Source organism: Homo sapiens, chromosome 8 (assembly GCF_000001405.40).
Source record: "Homo sapiens chromosome 8, GRCh38.p14 Primary Assembly".
Classification (NCBI taxonomy): Eukaryota; Metazoa; Chordata; class Mammalia; order Primates; family Hominidae; genus Homo; species Homo sapiens.
The window spans coordinates 67,387,971-67,410,338 of NC_000008.11; the positions used below are offsets into that span (position 1 = coordinate 67,387,971).

The 22,368-nt window shown below is 40.8% G+C and overlaps 1 long non-coding RNA gene and 1 pseudogene across 1 annotated transcript in view, besides 3 other annotated features; both read left to right on the forward strand.

Moving 5' to 3' along the window:
• ARFGEF1-DT (ARFGEF1 divergent transcript) overlaps positions 1 to 22,368 on the forward strand; it is a 148,035-nt gene that overhangs the window by 44,137 nt on the left and 81,530 nt on the right. The gene's annotated exons all lie outside the window — the stretch shown is intronic.
• Positions 4,817 to 5,096: an enhancer, noted in NCBI's record as "active region_27496". NCBI's record gives its function as "activates an Ori minimal core promoter by ATAC-STARR-seq in GM12878 lymphoblastoid cells {active_cell/tissue: GM12878}" and the evidence as "EXISTENCE:reporter gene assay evidence [ECO:0000049][PMID:35858748]".
• Positions 5,277 to 5,336: an enhancer, noted in NCBI's record as "active region_27497". NCBI's record gives its function as "activates an Ori minimal core promoter by ATAC-STARR-seq in GM12878 lymphoblastoid cells {active_cell/tissue: GM12878}" and the evidence as "EXISTENCE:reporter gene assay evidence [ECO:0000049][PMID:35858748]".
• Positions 5,347 to 5,426: an enhancer, noted in NCBI's record as "active region_27498". NCBI's record gives its function as "activates an Ori minimal core promoter by ATAC-STARR-seq in GM12878 lymphoblastoid cells {active_cell/tissue: GM12878}" and the evidence as "EXISTENCE:reporter gene assay evidence [ECO:0000049][PMID:35858748]".
• On the forward strand, positions 18,525 to 19,137 carry RPL17P31 (ribosomal protein L17 pseudogene 31; annotated as a pseudogene).

Here is a 22,368-nt window from a genome sequence, read left to right on the forward strand (position 1 = left end):
TTTGTTCTGTAACAAATAAGTAGAGATTTCAGCCATTTCCACTAAATGGAAGTAAGGGATTTGGTTTTGTTTCGTATATAATTAAAACAACTCAGTCTTCCCAGATTGGCACTTGTGGAAATTGGGAAACTGGGATCAGAACGTAAGCCACTCACCCTTGATGTTAGATGCTTTGTATCTCATCATGCCACCAGGGATAGGAAAGCATTCTTTTTTTTTTTTTTTCCTATTCATGGATAGTACTCCTTACAGAATCAATCAAAAGTAAAGAGCATGTCTAAAATAATTTGGAAGTATACTTCAATTTTATCTAATGTCCAGTTCAAAGAGAGAAGACAAAAAGAGAAGAAATCAGAAAGGTGGAAGAGAGAAGAATAGATAAACCAGGGGGTAAAGAAAGTAGAAAGGGTGAGTTAAGAAGTGGAAGAGGACAGAAGAGAGAGAAGCAATACACAGTGGAAGAAACACAGGTTCACATCTAGAATGCTGCACTCTTATCACTCCTTTTAAAAGTGTTAAGTGGCCAGATACGGTGGCTCAAACCTGCAATCCCAGCACTTTGGGAGGCCAGATCACTTGAGGTCAGTGTTCAAGACCAGCCTGGCCAACATGGTGAAACCTCGTCTCTAATAAAAATATAAAAATTAGCCAGGCGAGGTGTCAGACGCCTGTAACCCCAGCTACTCGGCAGGCCGAGGCAGGAGAATCGCTTGAACCCAGGAGGCAGAGGTTGCAGTGAGGTGAGATCACACCGCTGGACTCCAGCGTGGGCGACAGAGTGAGACTCCATCTCAAGAAAAAAAAAAGTGTGTGGTACCTCCCCTCCTCCCTCCTCCTCCTGCTCCTGCCATGTAAGACACCTGCTCTTGCTGCCTTTTGCCATGAGTAAAAAGCTCCCTGAAGCCTCCCTAGAAGCAGATGCTGCCATGCTTCCTGTGAAGCTTGTGGAACCATAAGCCAATTAAACCTCTTTTCTTTATAAATTACCCAGTCTCAGGTATTTCTTTATAGCAATGGGAGAATAGAACTAATATATTAAATAACATATTAAATACATGTTTATGTATAAGTATAAATTCAATATAATATCTATACATATATTTACATATGTAAACTAATTACTATAGATCAATCAGTAGGGAGATATATATAGATAGATATATAAGACATGATTCTTAGCCTTCAGAAGTTCAAAATCTAGGAGGGGAGATAAAAGTGAAAACATATAATTACAAAGCAATAGAAATAATTGCCATAATGGATATGTGAACTGAAGCAAAGAGGAGAAACTAACTTTGCCCAGAAGAGAATAAAAGGAATTCACTTATATTAGGAGTTATTATTACTCTATTTTATAAATTAGAATTTTCACATTCCAACGTAAGAGGGAGACATCTATATAAGGTTTTAAAAATTTATCTTGGCTGGGTGCCTTGGCTCACGCCTGTAATCCCAGCACTTTGGGAGGCCAAGGCGGGCAGATCAGGAGGTCAGGAGATGGAGACCATCCTGGCTAACATGGTGAAACCCCGTCTCTACTAAAAATACAAAAAATTAGCTGGGTGTGGTGGCGGGCGCCTGTAGTCCCAGCTACTCAGGAGGCTGAGGCAGGAGAATCGCTTGAACCCGGGAGACAGAGGTTGCAATGAGCAGAGATCACACCACTGCACTCCAGCCTGGGTGACAGAGCGAGACTCTGTCTAAAAATTTATATATGTATATATACACATATACACACTTTAAAAAATTTATCTCATTAAGCAAATAGGCCTGCAATAGCATTGACAGTGTGATACAAGAATTTGCAACATGGAATAACAGTTGCATAATGTACCAAGGAAGTGCTGAAACTACCCTATTAATTAAGCCAGTCTTTAATTTAATTGTATGATAGCGTGTGTAAACAGACTACTGTGAATAAATGATATACTAGACATATGTATCATTTTATTCGTTCATGCATTTGGAAATTTTCATGCACACCATATTGTGTAGGTACCAATGAGGAAACAGATTATTAAAGCATCATTCCTGCCTCAAGGATATCATAACCATGTAAGGGAAGTAAAATATGCTAAAGTGACTCAGTGTCCTGAGAGCTATATAACTAAAATATGAAAGAGTTTAGAGAAAATGCTTAGCCTCAGTATGAGGGATGACTTTTTAGGAGAACATGAATTTGAACTGGGTCATCAGGAATGGGTAGGTTTATTGCGGGTGGCTATCATGGAGACAGGGTAAATGTTCCAAATAAAAGAATCCTTTGAATCATATGAGCATAGCAACAGCAAATATTCTAACTTGGTTTGAGTACAAGGAACATAAAGCAGAGTTGTGGGAGATCATTTTTGAAGGATTAATTAGCAGTAGGTTATAGGTGGCCCGAACCCTAGAAAAAAAACCCAAACAATTCTACCAACATTTATTGAGGGCTTATAATAGCCCAGGAGTTGAGAATTCACAGATGAATAAAATGAAGCCTTTGCCCTTGGCAACTCAGATATACTCTTCCTGATGTCTTAGAGATAAGTGTAGAACAATGATTACAAAATCTGAGGGTACGTGCTATAATGAAGATATGTACAAAGGACTGTGGGAGCAATTACCTCTCGCTGGAAGAGTTAGAAAAGACATCAGAGGAAATGCTATTGCAATTGGGTCTTGATAAATAAGTGCAGAAAAAAAAGGACATAATGTTTCTTCTGCATACAAAGTCCCAGAGACATGGAAGAGCTGGCTTAATCAAAGAACAATCTGTGATCCAATGTGACTCAAGGGGGAAAGTATTGGGAATTAAGGCTGTAAAGAGAGGTCGGGGTCAAAATGAGAAGGGCCTCATGCATTGTGCTAAGGAATGTTGTGTTGGACTTAAGTCTTTTCAGCTTGTGATTTTCAATATTTTAAATGCTAGAATTTTTGGCAGGATAGTGGAAAGGATTAAAAGTCCAGAAACTTTAGCCAGGCTTGGTGGCATGTGCGTGTAGTCCCAGCTACCAGGGAGGCTGAGGCAGGAGGATTGCTTGAGCCCAGGAGTTCAAGGCTGCAGTGACTTATGATTGTGCCACTGCACCCCAGCCTGGGTGACAGAGCAAAACCCTCTCTTAAAAAAAAAAAAAATTCTGGATACACTAAACAAGCCAGCAGTAATTACAGCACAAACCATAGTATAGTGTAGCTATGGTCTCACAGTGTCTATAAAAGCATCCATAGTTACTGTACTATTCACTTGGTTGACCTTCAGCACTATGTTTCTTTTGGAGCAGAGCTGTTTATTCCCAGACAGTGTGCACTTTTGAATACTTGGAGGCGATGTTCTCACAAGTTCCAGTAAGCACCAGATCATTCCCTTGGCATAAACTTGATGTTACTCTAAGCCTCTTTCCTCTTACTTATAGCAAGTTGTACTCTGTTTAATACTCCACAAGTTTCTCAGATCATCGTTGTTTGACAGAAATTGCTCTTAAAAGTTTGAATGATGGCCGGGTGCGGTGGCTCACGCCTGTAATCCCTGTACTTTGGAGGCAGGTGGATCAACTGAGGTCAGGAGTTCAAGACCAGCCTGGCCAACATGGCAAAACCCTATCTCTAGTAAAAATACTAGTTGGACATGGTGATAGGTACCTGTAATCCCAGCTATTCGGGAGGCTGAGGCAGGGGAATCGCTTGAACCCTGGAGGTGGAGGTTGCAGTGAGCCGAGACTGTGCCATTGTGATCCAGCCTGGGCAACAAGAGCAAAACTCCATCTCAAAAAAAAAAAAAAAAAACTTTGAATGCATTCTACCTATTGATCAAAAGGTGGTAGGATGTTTGCAAAGTATGCAAGGTATGACACAAGGTAAGACACAAAGTGCTATGTCTTACCAGATGAAAACCATTGCTGTAAGCAAGAGTCCTGAAAGATGTTTTAATGGGTGGATCCTAAAACCAAAGCGATGATATGAGCAGATTAATCAAAATGCCATGTGCAAAATGGGTTGAAGAATGGAGATGCTGGGAGCTGATGTGGCCATTTAAAGCCAGAATGAGGACCAGAACTAGGGTTTCAGTAGAAAGGGAGATTAGGGGCCACTTTGTTAAGGAAATATGGGATTTGGCAATTGATCATATGGGGAAGGGGTGTCATGAAAAGGAGTGAAAGATGGATCTGACATTTTATGCCTGGTTGAATGGAAGAATACTGGTGCCATTACAAGAAACAGGATAATCAGGAATAACAGCTATTTGGGATTATATGAGAAATGTGGCTCAGGGTAATTGAGTTTTAAATGGTAGCTATAAATTAGCCAAGATTAATGACATCTTTTAGAATATTCTTACGGTTCTAATAAAATGCTGGGGAAAGAGGATATTGCCCAATATAGCAGTTGGGTGTATTTTGACTTTTTGTTTATAGTGTTCCATATATAATTGCCTTTATTTAATTAATTTATTTTTTTGAGACGGAGTTTCACTCGTCTTGCCCAGGTTGGAGTACAGTGGCACGATCTTGGCTCACTGTAACCTCCACCTCCCAGGTTCAAGTGATCCTCATGCTTCAACCTCCCAAGTAGCTGGGATTACAGGCACGTGCCACCACGCCTGGCTAATTTTTTCTATTTTTAGTAGAGATGGGGTTTTACCATGTTGATCAGGTTGTTCTTGAACTCCTGACCTCAGGTGATCCACCCTCCTCAGCCTCCCAAAGTGCTGGAATTACAGGTGTGAGCCACACCCAGCCTATAATTGCCTTTAAATGCAATTTTTTTTTTTGAAAAACTGATTTACTTACCATTTTTGTGGAATCCATTAATATAAGAACATTCCCAACAGATATAGGCCTTAAGAAGAAGGAGTATTCTGGGGGCTACACTTCTGGGAACTGAGATGTTGCTGATAGGTTACTGGCTCTAAACTACTTGCCAGTCCAGGGATTCCAGTAAGCTCATTTCTCTGGAGAAACATGTCTGTAGGCTGTTTCTGCGGGCCCCACCTTTCCACCCTGGGGTTGGGGCATGTGCAGATCCCTGCAGTACAAAACGCAGAAAAGTACTAGCCTCTAGCAGGTTGTAGGCAACGTTTAAGTAGAGTTGTAACTAGGCGACTCTAATTTTGAGCTCTATTATTTCTCTTACTACAAATGAGGAAGTGAAAAACAACTTTTACTTGTTAGTTACTTCCCCAGTTTGAAAAAACGGAAACAAAACCACCAGAGTAACCCAAACCCACAATTTAGTGCACCCAAGCACAAATTTGAGTGATTGGGTCAAAAAGGCTTTTCTCATGATTTGTAAACCAGAACCAGGAGCTCCAGATTTCCTTGGGGTGCCCCTGATGATGTCTTTGTCAGTGGTGCTCATCTTATTACCCAGGTACCCAAAATGGTACAGGAGATGGTTTCATTGGCATTCATATTACTAGATCAGTTTGCAACACAGAACATATAGAAACACACGTCCTTCAGCCAGGTGCGGTGGCTCATGCCTGTAATTCCAGCGTTTTGGAAGCCTGAGGCGGGAGGGTTGCTTGAGGTCAGGAGTTTGAGACTAGCCTGGGAAACATAGCAAGATCTTGCCTCTAAAAAAACAGATAATAAAAAGAAAAAAAAAATAGCTGGGCATGGTAGCATTAGCCTGTCGTCCTAGCTAGTAGGAAGGCTGAGGTGGGAGGATCACCTGAGCCCAGGAAGTCAACGCTTCAGTGAACTATGATTGCACCACTGCACTGCAGTCTGAGTGACAGAGTGAGACCCTGTCTCTAAAAACAAAAGCAACAACAAAAATCCACATCCTTGGTAGTCTGGAACCTTAGTTGCATTCCCTGCAGGAGCTGCCAGTGGGAATCTACAGGGTGAGAGGAGTTTGGAGTCTGAGATAAAGGACTCTCCCTCGCAGGAGAGGGAAGGCAAATGGGGGAGAAGGGGTGTTGAGACTAGCAAATTTTCTTTCCTTTTCCCAAGCTGTTTTGTTTTCCACAGCGTTTCCCCCTACTTCATCCACTACTGAACCCAGAGTTCTCCAAATGAACTATTTAATTATCAAAGAATAATGGTGAAACACAATTTCACTTTTCCCAGCCCCTGATCGATAATGAAGGTGTTGCTGAAGAGAGAAATAGCTGGCACATGGAACTTTAAAGTAGAAGGCACTGTGGTTTTCTGGCTTTGCAGTGAAAAGGCGGGTGAGGGCCATTGGTGTGCATTGGCAATGGCTGAAGTAAGGACTGGGTCTTGATCATTTCTGCTTTTCCCCCTCTTCTGTGTCAGTTGTATTCATAGAAGTATTGAATGCCTGGGTAAAGCTAGTGGGAATTATCTAACCTCCTCTTAGAGCCCCAAGATACAGCCTAAGCATTCTGACTTGAGCCACAATAAGGGCAGTTCGGCACAGCTGACAAAACTATGAGGCTATGTAGAATCCTTTTCTCTGAATGTTAGGAGACTCATCTCTCCTCTACCCATGTTGCTTTGATTAATGATGTTTCCATAGGGTCAGTTTTGCACCTTCAAATGTAGGATAAAATTAAGGAAAGTAGATTAAGATTGAATGAAATGTGCAGTGTTCTCTCAAGCCATTCCAAATATTGGAAGGTTTTGGCAAAACAGCTAACTGGCTTTTTAACTTTCTGCACAGATCAAACCCTGGAGCCAGGATGTGCAGTCTATGGCACTGCTTGGAGCATAAGCCTCAGTTACCATAACCTTGGTGTGTCCTTGCAGGTAACTGTGCCAGCAGGGATGGAGAGGCTGGATCAGCCTCCTCCATTTAGCCAGGGTCCATTTTCAGCAGTAACTCAGTCCCTCCCATAAGATATCTGAAAAACAAAATACACATTTCATCAATATAAATCTGATTTCAATTATCAGAGGCTTGGAGTTCAGTTCTTAATTTAAATACAGCTGTTTTACTAATTTTGAATTGAGTAAAATGTTATTCCTTCTTTCCCTACCACTTGGGCAAGAGGAAGTATGAGTTTTTTGTATAGCTCATTAGTGGGGTAACTCTGGCTTCCATCTTTTAAGCCAAACTGTTGCCCTTGGCTAGAGAGATGTTTGTTATTTTATAATATCCTCATTTCTGGGGTTTTCTAACAGCTGCTTCTGTTTGTTATTTTGCATTTTCCCAATTTCTCTTCACAATCTCATAACCAAGTGAGATTCTATTTATTCTTTTTTTTCAGCTTATTAATATACTGCCATGCCTCCTGGCTGCAAAAATATGATAAAATCACTGGGAAAAGAATTCAATAATTAATAAGAGTTTTTCTCCCTCAGTTTACAACATTCAGAAAAAAAATCTCATTAAAAAATCTCAGAATGTAGATATAACCTTCAACTCTTAAGGACAGGAAACATAGCGTTCTCTGGACTACAGAAAGAATGCTTTAAAAATGGGTTTTTTTCACAAGTCTAGGAATTGTTAAGAGGATCAGGCCAGCCAAATTTAATTGACATGAAGAGAGACTGTAAGAGCCTAATACTGTCACTTTTAGATTCTCCAAGGTCTTCAGAGCATTAGTCATTTTTGGATCTCTTCTGACAATAAAAGGGTATTCTCATCTTGTCTGTTCCATTTAAATGGGTTGAGTTTTAATTAGGGACAAATGACGCAGCTAACAGAGCAGAGACCTTTATTGAACTGGAAATATTTTCTTTATTTCTTTGACAAACATTTTTCCATACATCTCTTGTGGGCCATATCTTATGCCCTATTATAATAACATAACTTACTTTATTTGAGCAAATATTGTGGGATCACAGATAGAAAAGGCCACAAACCCTGTATGGAGAGATAGAGAACTGTCAAGGACTGTGAAGAATCTGGGATTTTACCCTACTTGCAAGCTAACCAGCTAGCCTGGTGATATGGTCAGGCTTTGTGTCCCTACCCAAATCTCATCTTAAATTGTAATCCCCATAATCCCCACATGTCTAGGGAGAGACCTGGTGGGAGGTGATTGGATCATTGGGGTGGTTTCACCCTTGCTGTCCTCATGATGATGAGTGAATTCTCACAAGATCTGATGGTTTTATAAGGGGCTCTTCCCCCTTTGTGTGCCACTCTCTCTGGCCTGCATCCATATAAGATGTGTCTCTTCCCCTTCCGCCATGATTGTAAGTTTCCTGAGGTCACCCCAGCCATGCAGAACTGTGAATCAATTAAACTTCTTTCCTTTATAAATTAGCTGGTCTTGGGTATTTTCTTTTATTTTTTGAGACGGAGTCTCACTCTGTCACCCAGGCTGGAGTGCAGTGGTGTGGTCTCGGCTCACTGCAACCTCCGCTTCCCGGGTTCAAGTGATTCTCCTGCCTCACCTCCCCAGTAGGTGGGACTACAGGCGTGTGCCACCACACCTGGCTAATTTTTGTAGTTTTGGTAGAGATGAGGTTTTGCCATGTTGGCCAGGCTGGCCTCGAACTCCTGACCTCAGGGGATCCACCTGCTTCAGCCTCCCAAAGTGCATTACAGGCATGAGCCACTGGGCCCGACTTGGGTATTTCTTTATAGCAGTGTGAGAACAGACTAATACACCTGGTAATGTTTAATGGATGCTGGCAGAAGACATAAGAACGCTAGGTCAGGGACAAATGACTTTATGACTGATAGCACCGTGAGCAGCATGAGCATGACACTGGTGCCAGGTCCCCATTCCCCACCCCCATCCCCCTAGTCCCATGGAGCTGAAAAACAGCCCTGGTAAAGAGCAGTCAGGGCCTTGTTTTCTTGGCATACCTGGCAAGAACCTGCAGGGATGGATGCTCAAAGCTCACAAGGGATTGCTTCTTCCAGCAAACACAACACTGAGAAGACACATAGGATGGGATGAATAGATACTTGATGAGAGCAAGGAGGACTCATTCCAGTCAGAGGAAATAGGATTTGCAAAGGCCCTGAGGCATGAAGGACACTGAGCTGTCTCAGGGAACAATGGACTGTCTGGCATGATTGGGATGATAATCATAAGGTTAAAGAAGGAGGCTGGCAACCATTCATCAAGGGCTTTGCATGCCATTGAGATTATGGTGTATGGCTTTTTGTTTTATTTTGACCCAACAAATTTCAGAACATTTTAAGCAGAGGAATGACATGATTGAATTTTATTTTATTTTTATCATTTTTATTTATCTTTTTGAGACGGAGTTTTGTTCTTGTTGCCCAGGCTGGAGGGCCAGTGGTGTGATCTCAGCTCACTGCAACCTCTGCCTCCTGGGTTCAAGGGATTCTCCTGCCTCAGCCTCACGAGTAGCTGGATTACAGGTGCCCACCACCAAGCCTAGCTAATTTTTGTATTTTTAGGAGAGAGGGGGGTTTCATCGTGTTGGCCAGGCTGCTCTTGAACTCCTGGCCTCAAATGATCTGCCTGCTTCGGCCTCCCAAAGTGCTTGGATTATAGGTGTGAGCCACCGTGCCCGGCCTGAATTTTATTTGCTATTATCTGGTGATATAGTGTAGAGAAGAGACTGGATAATAGCTAATCAGAGATAAGCTCTATGGGCCTTTCACCGAGTGTCCTTGGAACACCTTGCTTTTTAAGTGTTTTTTAAACCCTTTGCATTTTTTTTCTATTTTTCTAAGACTTCACTACCTTATCCTACCCTGTGTCTCATTTTCACCTTCAAGGACCTCACACACTCACCTTCATGTCTGGCAGCCCTCTCCCTTCAACCCACATTGAATATGCTGATATGAACTGATATAGAGTAGGAATATTTCTATTTAATTTACTGAATTTCTCAGTATTTTTAGAGTTGTAAACATGTTATTTTCTGAGAATTTATCTACTTTTTTTTTTCCTTATGCCAATATTCTAGTAAGAATTTTTACTTGGCATAATATAATTTATAAATTCAAGTCTAAGAGGTAAATTTTAACATTCAATTTATTAAAATAAACACACACACACTCTATTCCAAATAGTATTTGTTTATTCTAAAAAGGAATTGTATGAAGACAAGTATGAGTATGATATTTTAAGAGATTAAAAGATAGAAATTGACTACATTGAACATAACAAAGTCAAAATACAAAATATTTATTTTCTTTATGATTTCAAGACCCTTCCAAATTTTGCAATGTATCGGGGACAGAAGCGATGATTTTTAAAGCCCATTTAGTGGTTTAAAACAATACAATCTTTTTTTTTTTTTTTTTTTTGAGACTGAGTCTTGCTCTGTCACCGGGCTGCAGTGCAGTGGTGCGATCTTGGTTGACTGCAACCTCTGCCTCCCTGGTTCAAGCAATTCTCCTGCCTCAGCCTCCCGAGTAGCTGGGATTACAGGCGCGTGCCCCCATGCCCAGCTAATTTTTGTATTTTTAGTAGAGACGGGGTTTTACCATGTTGGCCAGGATGGTCTCCATCTCTTGACCTCGTGATCCACCTGCCTCAGCCTCCCAAAGTGCTGGGATTACAGGCGTGAGCCACCACGCCTGGCCTTTTTTTTTTTTTTTTTTTTTGAGGCAGAGTTTCATGCTTGTAGCCCAGGCTGGAGTGCAGTAGCGCCATCTCGGCTCACTGCAATCTCTGCCTCCCAGGTTCAAGCAATTCTCCTGCCTCATCCTCCTGAGTAGCTGGGATTACAGGTGTGTGCCACCATGCCCAGCTAATTTTTGTGTTTTAGTAGAGATATAGTTTCACCATGTTGGCCAGGCTGGTCTTGAACTCCTGACCTCATGTGATCTGCCCGCCTCAGCCTCCAAAAGTGCTGAGATTACAGGCGTGAGCCACTGTGCCTGGCAGAAAACAACACACATTTCTTTTACATTTTGGAGGGCAGAAGTCTGCAATCATTTTCACTGGGCAAAATTCAAAATGTTGGCAGGACTGTTTCCTTTTGGAAGCCCTGAGGGGAAGGATCTGTGTCCTTGCCTTTTTTAGCTGCTAGTGGCTGCCTGTATTCCTTAGCCTGTGGCCTCTTTCTCAATCTTTTTTTCTTTTTTTTTTTTGAGATGGAGTCTTGCTCTGTCACCCAGGCAGGAGTGCAGTGGTGCAATCTCAGCTCACTGCAACCTCTGCCTCCTGGGTTCAAGTGATTCTCCTGCCTCAGCCTCCTGAGTAGCAGGGATTACAGGCACTGCCACCACTCCCAGCTAATTTTTGTAATTTTAGAGGGAGGCGGTTTCCCTGTGTTGGCCAGGCTGTTCTCGAACTCCTGATTTCAAGTGATCATCTGCTTTGGCCTCCCAAAGTGTTGAGATTACAGGTGTGAGCCACCGCACCCAGCTCTTTCTCAATCTTCAAAGAGCGTCATTCCAGCCTCTTTCCTTCATTGCATCTCTTTCTCTGACTCTGGCTCTTTCTTCACTCCTCTTCTAAAGATCCTATTATTACAACAGGCCCACCTAGATAATCCTGAACAATCTCCCAACTTCAAGACCCTTAACTAATCACACCTGCAAATTCTCTTTTGCTTAGAGGGGGAACATTCACAGGTTCTGAGGATTAGAAGAAAGACATATGCAGTGGGGCTTCATTATCCAGCCTACCACAATTCCTCCTACTACTTAAATTAGTGCTTTTTTTTCTTTCTACAGCGTTACTTGATTTGGGGTTACAGCTGAGATAATTGGGCTCCCTAGACATGTCATCCATGTATTGATCTGTTTTAGAATAAGTTTAGAATAATAAGTTCTTGGAGCTGTAGGCTTCTGAGGGAATCCTTCTTCCCCACAGAATGACTCATCCTTGAATACGCCAGGCAGGTTCACTATCTCCATCTCTCACTTGCAACCCCTGTCTCTGCCCTACCTGGACGCCTCAGCCTTCTCACTTTAGTGCATCACGCCTTCACACTGCAAACGGCTGGTATCTGCATCTTTTTGCTCAAGGTTTACCCTAGTCTCTGGAGCCTGTTCCATCTGAGCTTAGAAAAGACTGGAAATTCTATCGGAATTAATACCCATATCCCCCAGTAGCCTTCAATCATGAATGAAATAGTGTATAAATATCCCAGCCCCCCTCATTTCGTTTTTGCCACTTGTTTTATTGAGATATAATTCACATAACATAAAACTCATCATGTTAGGCTGGGCGTGGTGGCTCACGCCTGTAATCCCAGCACTTTGGGAGGCCGAGGTAGGCAGATCATGAGGTCAGGAGTTCAAGACCAGCCTGGCCAACAAAAGTGAAACCCTGTCCCTACTGAAAATACAAAAAAAAATTATCCGGGCATGATGGCGGGTGCCTGTAGTCCCAGCTACTTGGGAGGCTAAGGCAGGAGAATCACTTGAACCCAGGAGGCAGAGGTTGCAGTGAGCTGAGATTGTGCCTCTGCACTCCAGCCTGGGTAACAGAGTGAGACTCCGTCTCAAAAAAAAAAAACAAACACAAAAACACATCATATTAAAGGATACTGTTCAGTGGTTTTTAATATATTCACAATGTTGTACAACCTTCACTACTACCTACTTCCAGAATGTTTCTATCCCTCCAAAGAAGCCCGCACCAGTTAGTACCATCCTTTGTCCTTACTTTCTGTCTCTACGAATTGGCCTATCCTGGACGCTTCATAGAAATGTGATATAGTTTTGATGCTTGTCCCCTCCAGACCTCATGTTGAAATACGATTCCCAGTGTTGGAGGTGGCACCTGGTAGGAGGTGAATAGAGCATGGCCAGAGGCCTCATGAATGGCTTAGCACCATCCCCTTAATGATAAGTGAGTTCTTGCTTAGTTCATGTGAAATCCAGTTGTTTAAAAGTCTGGTTCCCAGCCAGGCATGGTGGCTCACGCCTGTAATCCCAGCACTTTGGGAGGCTGAGGTGGGCAGATCACTGGAGGTCAGGAGTTCAGCCTGGCCAACACGGTGAAACCCCACCTCTACTAAAAATACAAAAATTAGCCAGGTGTGGTCCAGCTTACAGGTGGGCACCTGTAATCCCAGCTACTCCGGAGGCTGAGGCATGAGAACCTCTTGAATCTGGGAGGTGGAGGTTGCAGTGAGTCGAGATCGCATGACTGCACTCCAGCCTGGGTGACAGAGTGAGACCCTGTCTCCAAAAAATAACAAAACAAAACAAAACAAAACCAGTCTGTTTCCCGACTCCCCACCCCACCTATCTTTCTTGCTCCTGCTGTTGCCATGTGATGCACCTGCTCCCCCTTCACTTTTCACCACTGAACACTTCAGTTTCCGCAATTGAAAACTTCTGAGGCCCTCACCAGAAGCAGATGCCAGCACCACGTTTCCTGTACACCCTGCAGAACAGTGATCCAATCAAACCTCTTTTCTTTATAAACTACCCAGTCTCAGGTGTTCCTTCATAGTACTGCAAACGGACTAACACAAAAAATGGAATCATACAACATGTGGTTCCTCATTTCTTAGATGGATGTCATCAAGACACAAGTTCAAGCTGATTCTCTGATTTCCCCAGCATGATTAAGCTCCAGTTGCCCACAGTGGCACTGGGCAATGAATTGGCTGCCCTTCCTTTCCTGCCTCACTTCCCTGCTTTTCCGCTGGTGTTTCTGGGATCACCTCTCAAAGAAAGTGCTTGTACTAGAATCCTTGCTTTGGAATCTGCTTCTGGGGGAACCCAAACTAAAACACTAAGCATATCTAGCTAATTAATCCATTCATCAAATATACACTGAATATTTACTCTGTTGTTGGCACATTGTTCAATGCTGAAGATTCAGCACAAACAAGTTAGGCATCCTTCCCGTTCTCATGGAGGGCGTTGAAGCAGGTAATAAAGGCATTAAGCAAATTACAAGAGAGATGAGTGTTACAAAGAAGTGGGTGAGAGAAGGCCTTCTTAAGAATGAGACCTGAAGAATGGGAAGTAGTTATCCTGGAGAAGAGGGTGGAGAAAATTTTCCAGGCATACAAACCCACTCCAAGATAAGGGTGAATGTGGTGCTTTGGGGGATCGTGAGAAAACCATATGGCTCTTGCAGAAAGAGTTGGAGGAAAATAGCTGAGGTAGGTACTTTACCTTCAAGGAAAGACTTGATGTCCAGCTGTGGAGCACATGGTCAGCAGACAGTCTACAGCTGTCAGCTCTTTCAGGTCAGCCTCAGCTCCTGAGAGATGCCTTGACCAAGGTCACACCCTTTCTGGAGCAGCCTGCATCTGGTGACAGAGCAAGATTGGGATATAGAGGCCCAGCTGTCTGGCCTTGTGGGGGACATTCTTTTTAAAAAAAATTTTTTTTTTTTTTGAGACGGAGTCTCGCTCTGTCGCCCAGGCTGGAGTGCAGTGGCGTGATCTCGGCTCATTGCAAGCTCCGCCTCCCAGGTTCACGCCATTCTCCTGCCTCAGCCTCCCGAGTAGCTGGGACTACAGGCGCCCGCCACCACGCCCGGCTAATTTTTTGTATTTTTAGTAGAGACGGGGTTTCACCGTGTTAGCCAGGATGGTCTCGATCTCCTGACCTTGTGATCCGCCTGCCTCGGCCTCCCAAAGTGCTGGGATTACAGGCGTGAGCCACTGCGCCCGGCTCTTTTTAAAGAATTTTAAGCGTTAATATATTTAATAGTATACTAAAATTTAAGAAGAAAAATTGGTTAACATACTGTATTTCCATTTTTTTCTTTCAGTAGTTTTTGGGCAACAGGTGGTTTTTGGTTACATGGATAAGTTCTTTAGTGGTAATTTCTTTTTTTCTTTCTTTTTTTTTTTTTTTTTGAGACGAAGTTTTGCTCTTGTCTCCCAGGCTGGAGTGCAATGGCACGATCTCGGCTCACTGCAACCTCTGCCTCCTGGGTTCAAGCGATTCTCCTGTCTCAGCCTCACCAGTAGCTAGGATTACAGGTGTGCGTCACTGGCTAATTTTTGTATTTTTAGTAGAGACGGGGGTTTCACCATGTTGGTCAGGCTGGTCTCGAACTCCTGACCTCAGGTGATCTGCCTGTCTCAACCTCCCAAAGTGCTGGGATTATAGGTGTGAGCCACTGCGTCTGGCCTTTAGTGGTAATTTCTGAGATTTTGTGCACCTGTCACTTGAGCAGTGTACACTGTACCCAATATATAGTCTTTTATCCCTCACCCCATTCCCAGCCCTTTCCCCGAGTCCCAAAAGTCCATTATATCATTCTTATGCCTTTGCAACCTCATAGCTTAGCTCCCACTTTTAAGTGAGGATCTATGATATTTGGTTTTCCATTCCTGAGTTACTTCACTTAGAGTAATGGTCTCCAATTCCATCCAGGTTGTTGTGAATGCCATTATTTTGTTCCTTTTTATGGTTGAGTAATATTCCATGGTGTATATATATTATGTACATATAAATTATATATAATATATATTATGTACGTATATATTATATATTATGTACGTATATAATATATTATATATTATGTATATATAATATATATTACATATTATGTACATATATAATATATATTATGTACATATATAATATATATTACATATTATGTACATATATAATATATATTATGTACATATATAATATATATTATGTACATATATAATATATATTTACATATATAATATTATGTACACATATATTATATATATTATGTACATATATAATATATTATATATGTACATATATTATATATTATATATGTACATATATTATATATTATATATGTACATATATTACATATTATATATTTGTACATATATTATATATAATATATATTTGTACATATATTATATATAATATATATTATATACACCATGGAATATTACTCAATATATAATATATTATATTATATAATATATATTATATATATTACATATAATATATATTATATATATTACATATAATATATATTATATATATTACATATAATATATATTATATATATTACATATAATATATATTATATATATTACATATAATATATATTATATATTACATGTAATATATATATTATATATATTACATGTAATATATATTATATATATTACATATAATATATATTATATATATTACATGTAATATATATATATACCACATTTTCTTTATCCACTCATTGGTTGATGGTCATTTAGGCTGGTTCTATATTTTGCAATTGCGAATGTGCTGCAATAAACATGTGTGTGCAAGTGTTCTTCTCATATAATGACTTCTTTTCCTCTGGGTAGTTACCTAGTAGTGAGATTGCTGGATCAAATGGTAAATCTACTTTTAGTTCTTTAAGGAATCTCCATACTGTTTTCCATTGTGGTTGTATTTGTTTACATTCCCACCAGCAGTGTAAAAGTGTTTCCTTTTCACCACATCCATGCCAACATCTATTATTTTTTGATTTTTCAATTGTGACCATTCTTGCAGGAGTAAGGTGGTATTGCATTGTGGTTTTGATTTGTATTTCCCTGATAATTAGTGATGTTGAGCATTTTTTCATGTTTGTTGGCCATTTGTATATCTTGTTTTGAGAATTGCCTATTCATGTCCTTTGCCCACTTTTTGATGGGATTGTTTGTTTCTTGCTGATTTCTTTGAGTTCCTTGTAGATTCTGGTTATTAGTCCTTTGTTGGATGCATAGTTTGTGAATACTCTCCTTGTGGGGGACATTCTGATGGGCAATAGTCAACCCAGAGCTCCCGGCTGAGTTTGCTGGGTCTGCAACACAGTTCAATTACTTCCTCAGTCCAGTCCTGCTTTGGCCTCCTCCCCTTTGCAGGTATTGATTCTTGATAAACATCTTGCCTCAAACTGTTGGAACCTACTCCCAGAGAACCCTACGTCCCATAGCAATGAAACAAGAAGGCTTTGTATCATGGGTGATAATATTACCAAGTATCTCCTAAAACACAAAGAAGGTGAGGGCTCTTGTGGCCTGAGAGGGATGGACTATACTTTTGGGGAGCAAGAGCAACTTTGGAGTCCTCACTGAAGGATTTACACATAAGTTTGCAATATGTAAGTTGAGAGATTTTGGAATTCAGAGAACTCGGGGGGAGTGAGGATTTTTGAAGAGGATAAACATTTTGGGGGTATATTTAAAATGCTTTTTATTAAATTAGCTGGGTGTGGTGGCACGCTCCTATAATCTCAGCTACTTGGGAGGCTGAGGCAGGATAATTGCTTGAATCTGGGAGACAAATGTTGCAGTGAGCCGAGATCGCACCATTGCACTCCAGGCTGGGTGACAGAGTGAGACTCCATCTCGGAAAAAAAAAAAAAAAGGTTTTATTTTTTGTATGTATTTTTCTAAATTTGTCTCAAGTGATAACATTTGTATATGGTTATATAAATTATATTAGTAATATGGCTGTTTGGATTTATGTGCTCTTTTATCCATGGGATCTCCCAGGAATGTGAGCAAAAGGGAACATCACAGAAATACTTTTTCCATTGAGGATAATATCAGATTCCATACTGCGGGCATTTAAAATTTTATGTTCTCTCTGGGCAGTAGACTTTAAAAAATATAATTAGATGCTACTCCAGTGGGTACTTTATAAAGCATTAAAATATTAAATAACCTGATGAATGTTTAACTTAGCTGGAATGAGGGTAACTATATTCCTCTGTCCTTACTATAAGGTGTACTACTATGATCCAGTCTGCCCACAAAATACAGATACAGAAGCTCCTTCCCCCTGCTAATGGTCCTGAGATGCTATAGATACCTGTCCTTACTACAGATATCTTGGAGGACATGGTGGATGGTGTGATTCCAGTTTCTGAAAACCAGAGGCTTAGTGATGGGTGTTGCTACCCAGGCAACTGAGCAGTTGCTCTGCAGACCCTGCTGAGGTGCTGGAAGTATCCCCATCTGGTGCAGCTCCTCACAGACATACTTTCCTGGGTCCCCTGGCTCAAGTGCACCCTGACTTGGGGACTCCTCTTTGAAGGCAGTCCAGTGATCCCTGACCCAAAACTCTCTTTTCCCCTTCCTCTAGTCACTTCCTCAGGTTTTGATGCCTCCCCTCAGGCCAGATTATAGTCAAATACCCTCCTTTCTCCTTGAGATTGAAAGGACGATCACTCTCTTTAGCACTTTATAGGTGATTTCAGAGGAAAACAATATGTGGTTTAAATTTCCTGCCATATAGCAATATATGGTTTGAATATGTAAAAAATGAAAGCGATTCCATTTACATGAAGTTCTAGACCGAACAAAATTTCTCTGTGATGATAACTGTCAGAATAGTGGTTGCCTCTGGAGGGAGTATTGACTGGAAAGAGGCATGAGCATCTTTTCTAGAATGAAGGAAATGTTCTTGATGGGAGTGGGGGTATATGTTTGTCAAAATTTATTGAACTATATATTTAAACTATGCATTTATTTTATGTACATTTAAACAGATAAAGCAGGATGACAAATAGTTCAAAAACGAAAGAGAAAAGTCCATGTGAGAATAATTCAGCAAACATTTACATTTCAAAATGGTTTGGTTTTAATTTTCTGACTTTATTAGGGCCATTTATAGGAAAGGACCCACCATCAGCATGTAGCTCTGCTGAGGGATATAACAACACTTTTATCCATAGGCAATTATTTCTTATTGGAAATACAGAACTTTGCATGAAGTAAAGCTCTTTAAATAGAGTAAAAATGTTTGCATATTTCATAAGTTTAGAAGTTAGCTAGAAGTCACCGCTCTTCCTCTTCCCCTAAGTGGCCTAAGGTGATCTGTGAAAATGGTTTGCTATTCACTTGACCCAGAAAACCCCGCGAAATCATGAAAATCAAGAGGTTCAAATCTTCATGTTCACTTTAAGAACACTTGTGAAACTGCCAGGGCCATGAAGGGTATGCCTATACGGAAAGCCACCAAGTATGTGACAGATGTCACTTTACAGAAACTGTGTACCATTCTGATTTTACAATTGTGGAGTTGGTAGGTACTCTCAGGCCAAACAGTGCGGCTGGACACACAGTTGGTGGCCCAAAAAGAGTCTTGAATTTTTGCTGCACATGCTTAAAAATGCAGAGAGTAATGCTGAACTTAAGGTTTTATCCGATGTAGATTCTCTGCTCATTAAGCATAGCCAGGTGAACAAAGCACCTAAGATGTGCCATCGGACTTACAGAGCTCACGGTCAGATCAACCCATACATGAGCTCTCCCTGCCACATTGAGATGATCCTTGCTGAAAAGGAACACACTGTTCCTAAACCAGAAGAGGATGTTGCACAGAAAAAAAAAGATATCCCAGTATAAACTGAAGAGGCAAAAACTTAACGGCACGGGAATAAATTCAGCACAAATAAAGACAAAGTTAAAAAAAAAAAAGTTAGCTAAATGAGATTCAGTACACATTTCTGTAGCTTTTGTCAGTAGCTGACCCCCAATGTTTCTACCTACAGAGTGGCCACTAAGTTTAGAAATACAGGTGGCTCTTTGCCCTGTCTCACTATGTTAAGTGACCACCAATTACTGTCTGCACTTAACACAGGAGGCAAGGTAACCTGGAGAGCACCACCACATGACCCCAGGGTGGTGAGGAACTGGTAGGATGATCATTCCTAAAATTGGATTGGATGACATAGCCCTGTGGAGTATGCTGCGTGATGGCCAGAATACCCTTGGGTATGGGGTAAGCCAGAAAAAATTAGGACATGGAATGAAAAGTTGTATTTGAATACTGGATAAGCAACAAATAATTTTTTTGTATAAGTATGCAAGGGATACTTATATATCCCTTGCATATATAGGATGTATATGCATGGACATACTTGCAAGGGACATAATTATACTAAAAATATATCTGGTTTTTATCTGAAATTTAAATTTAATTGAGACTGGGTACAGTGGCTCATGCATGTAATCCCAGCACTTTGGGAGGCTGAGGCGGGTGGATCACCCGAGGCTAGAGTTTGAGACCAGCCTGGCCAACATGGCAAAACCCTGTCTCTACTAAAAATATCAAAAATTAGCTGGGCTGGGCATGGTGGCGGGTGCTTGTAATCCCAGCTACTTGGGAGACTGAGGCAGGAGCTTTTCTTGGATCTGGGAGGTGGAGGCTGCAGTGAGCTCAGATCACACCACCGCACTCCAGCCTGGGCAACAAGAGCGAAACTCTATTTCAAAAAAAAAAAAAAAAAAAAGAAATAAATAAAAAAATAAATAAGTGTAATTGAGTGTCCCCCTGTATTTTTATGTGCGAAGTCTGATAAGCATGAGGTACACTAAAAAGACAGGTTCCTCCTCACCACCCACCATGAAAATCAGAGACAAAATCTGACTCAGTGGGTTTCAAACTTTAGCTTGCATCAGAATCACATGCAGAGCTTGTTAAAACCCACATTATTAGTCAGAGTTTCTGATTCAGTAGGTCTGGGGTGAGGCCCTGAAAATTTGCATTTCTTAACATTCCCAGGCATTGCTGATCCTGCTGATTCCAGGAGTCATATCTGAGAACTACTGATCTAAGGTGATGCATTACAGATGCATGTGCAGGGATTGCTAGAAATGCCATGTTAATGTATCCTGTTCATTGTGATTCGGCCTAGCACATTAAACTATGCATCGCTAATGAGGGACAACACATCAAACATATAATATATTGTAATGTAATATCAATAAACCATTTATTATGCATAGTTGCCTATGTTTCCAGACTTTATGGCCACTCTGTAGGGAAGCTATTTGCCTCTGTAGTGAATGGATTTCCTTTTAATGAGTGTGAAATTAAAATTCCATGTTAAAATTAGAATAGAACCCAAACTTCAATAAATCCATAAAATAGTAATATCAGAGAACCTTCGTTAACTTATATACCAAATAAATATTTAACAAGGTGTGACACTCAGGAATTTTATTTATATTTTATTAAACACCACAATTTCCACAACATATTATTTATACACAGAGAGATTATACAACCTCAGGATTTTTGGAGTACCCAGGATGGAGTTTCTACACCATGACTTCTCCAGGGACCTAGTCTTCTAGGAGAAAGATATAAGAGGCATTTGTTTGTGCTATCCATAGAACTGAAAAATACTGAAATGTTCTAAATAACTTTGAAGCTGACATTTCCTATTTCCACCATCAAAACTTTTGCACTTATTTTTTCTTGTTTTTGGAGACGGGATCTCACTCTGTCACCAGGCTGGAGTACAGTGGCGTGATCTCGGCTCACTGCAACCTCCGCCTCCTGGGTTCAAGCAATTCTCCTGCCTCAGCCTCCCGAGTAGCTGGGACTACAGGCGCCCGCCACCACGCCCAGCTAATTTTTTGTATTTTTAGTAGAGACGGGTTTCACTGTGTTAGCCAGTATGGTCTCGATCTCCTGACCTCGTGATCCGCCTGCCTCAGCCTCCCAAAGTGCTGGGATTACAGGCGTGAGCTACCGCGCCTGGACATTTTTTCTTTGTTTTAACTTTTCTATTTCTTGGCCTACTGATTTGGATTTTCTCTTTTGAGGGAGAAGGATACACAGGAGAGACATATATTGGAAAAGAATAAAATAAAGTACTAGAAATTTTGCTGAGTGTCTGAGTCCTTTGGCCACTGTTTGGAGATCATTGGCCACAAATACACACAGGACTACTTTAAGAGATATATGTATACTGAATAATTTATGGATGAAATGAGACATCTGTGATTTGCTTTAAAATACTGCAACATGCAGCTGGGCACAGTGGCTCATGCCTGTAATCCCAGGGCTTTGGGAGGCCAGGTGGGAGGATTACTTTAAGCCCAGGAATTTGAGACTAGCTGGGGCAACACAGCGAGACTCTGTCTCTAAAATTTTTTTTTTTTTTTAATTAGCTGGACATGGTAGTGCGTGCCTGTAATCCTGGCTACTCAGGAGGCTGAGGCGGGAGAATCCCTTGAGCCCAGGAGTTGGAGGTTACAGTGAGCTATGATCATGTCACTGAAGACTAGCCTGAGTAACAGAGCAAGACCCTATACCAAAAAATGAACAAGCCAGCCTGGGCAACATGGCAAAACCCTGTTCCTACAAAAAATAAAAAATTAGCCAGGTGTGGTACCACAGGCCTCTGGTCCCAGCTAGTAGGGAGGTTGGGGAAAAAAAAAAAAAAGAAAAGAGAAAAATAAAATAAAAAGTAAAATATTGAAACAAGCAAAAAGTTGAAAGAGGAAAGATGAAATAAGTTTGGCAAAACAAAATGTTAATAATTGTTGAAACTGGGTGGTGGGGTTTATTATGATATACTACTTTTGTATATGTTTGAAAATTTCAGTAAGTTAAAAAAAGTATAAGGCTCGGCATGTATTCTTACCGCTGTCACTAATGGGACAAGAAACCATACTCGAATCACATAGATATACTGTGCGTCAATTTTTATAAATGACTGTATAGCAATTATTCAATCAGCACAGTTATTGAGCTTGGCTTACTGTGTAGGGAGCATTCTGATATTACTACCTAAATTCCCAGGCATGTTGTTAGATAACTGAAAAGTTAATGTACTTAAAAAAATTTAAACTTATTAATAAATTAAATTTATGTATTATTATCACGAGATCCATTGTTGAAATTCTTTGAGTA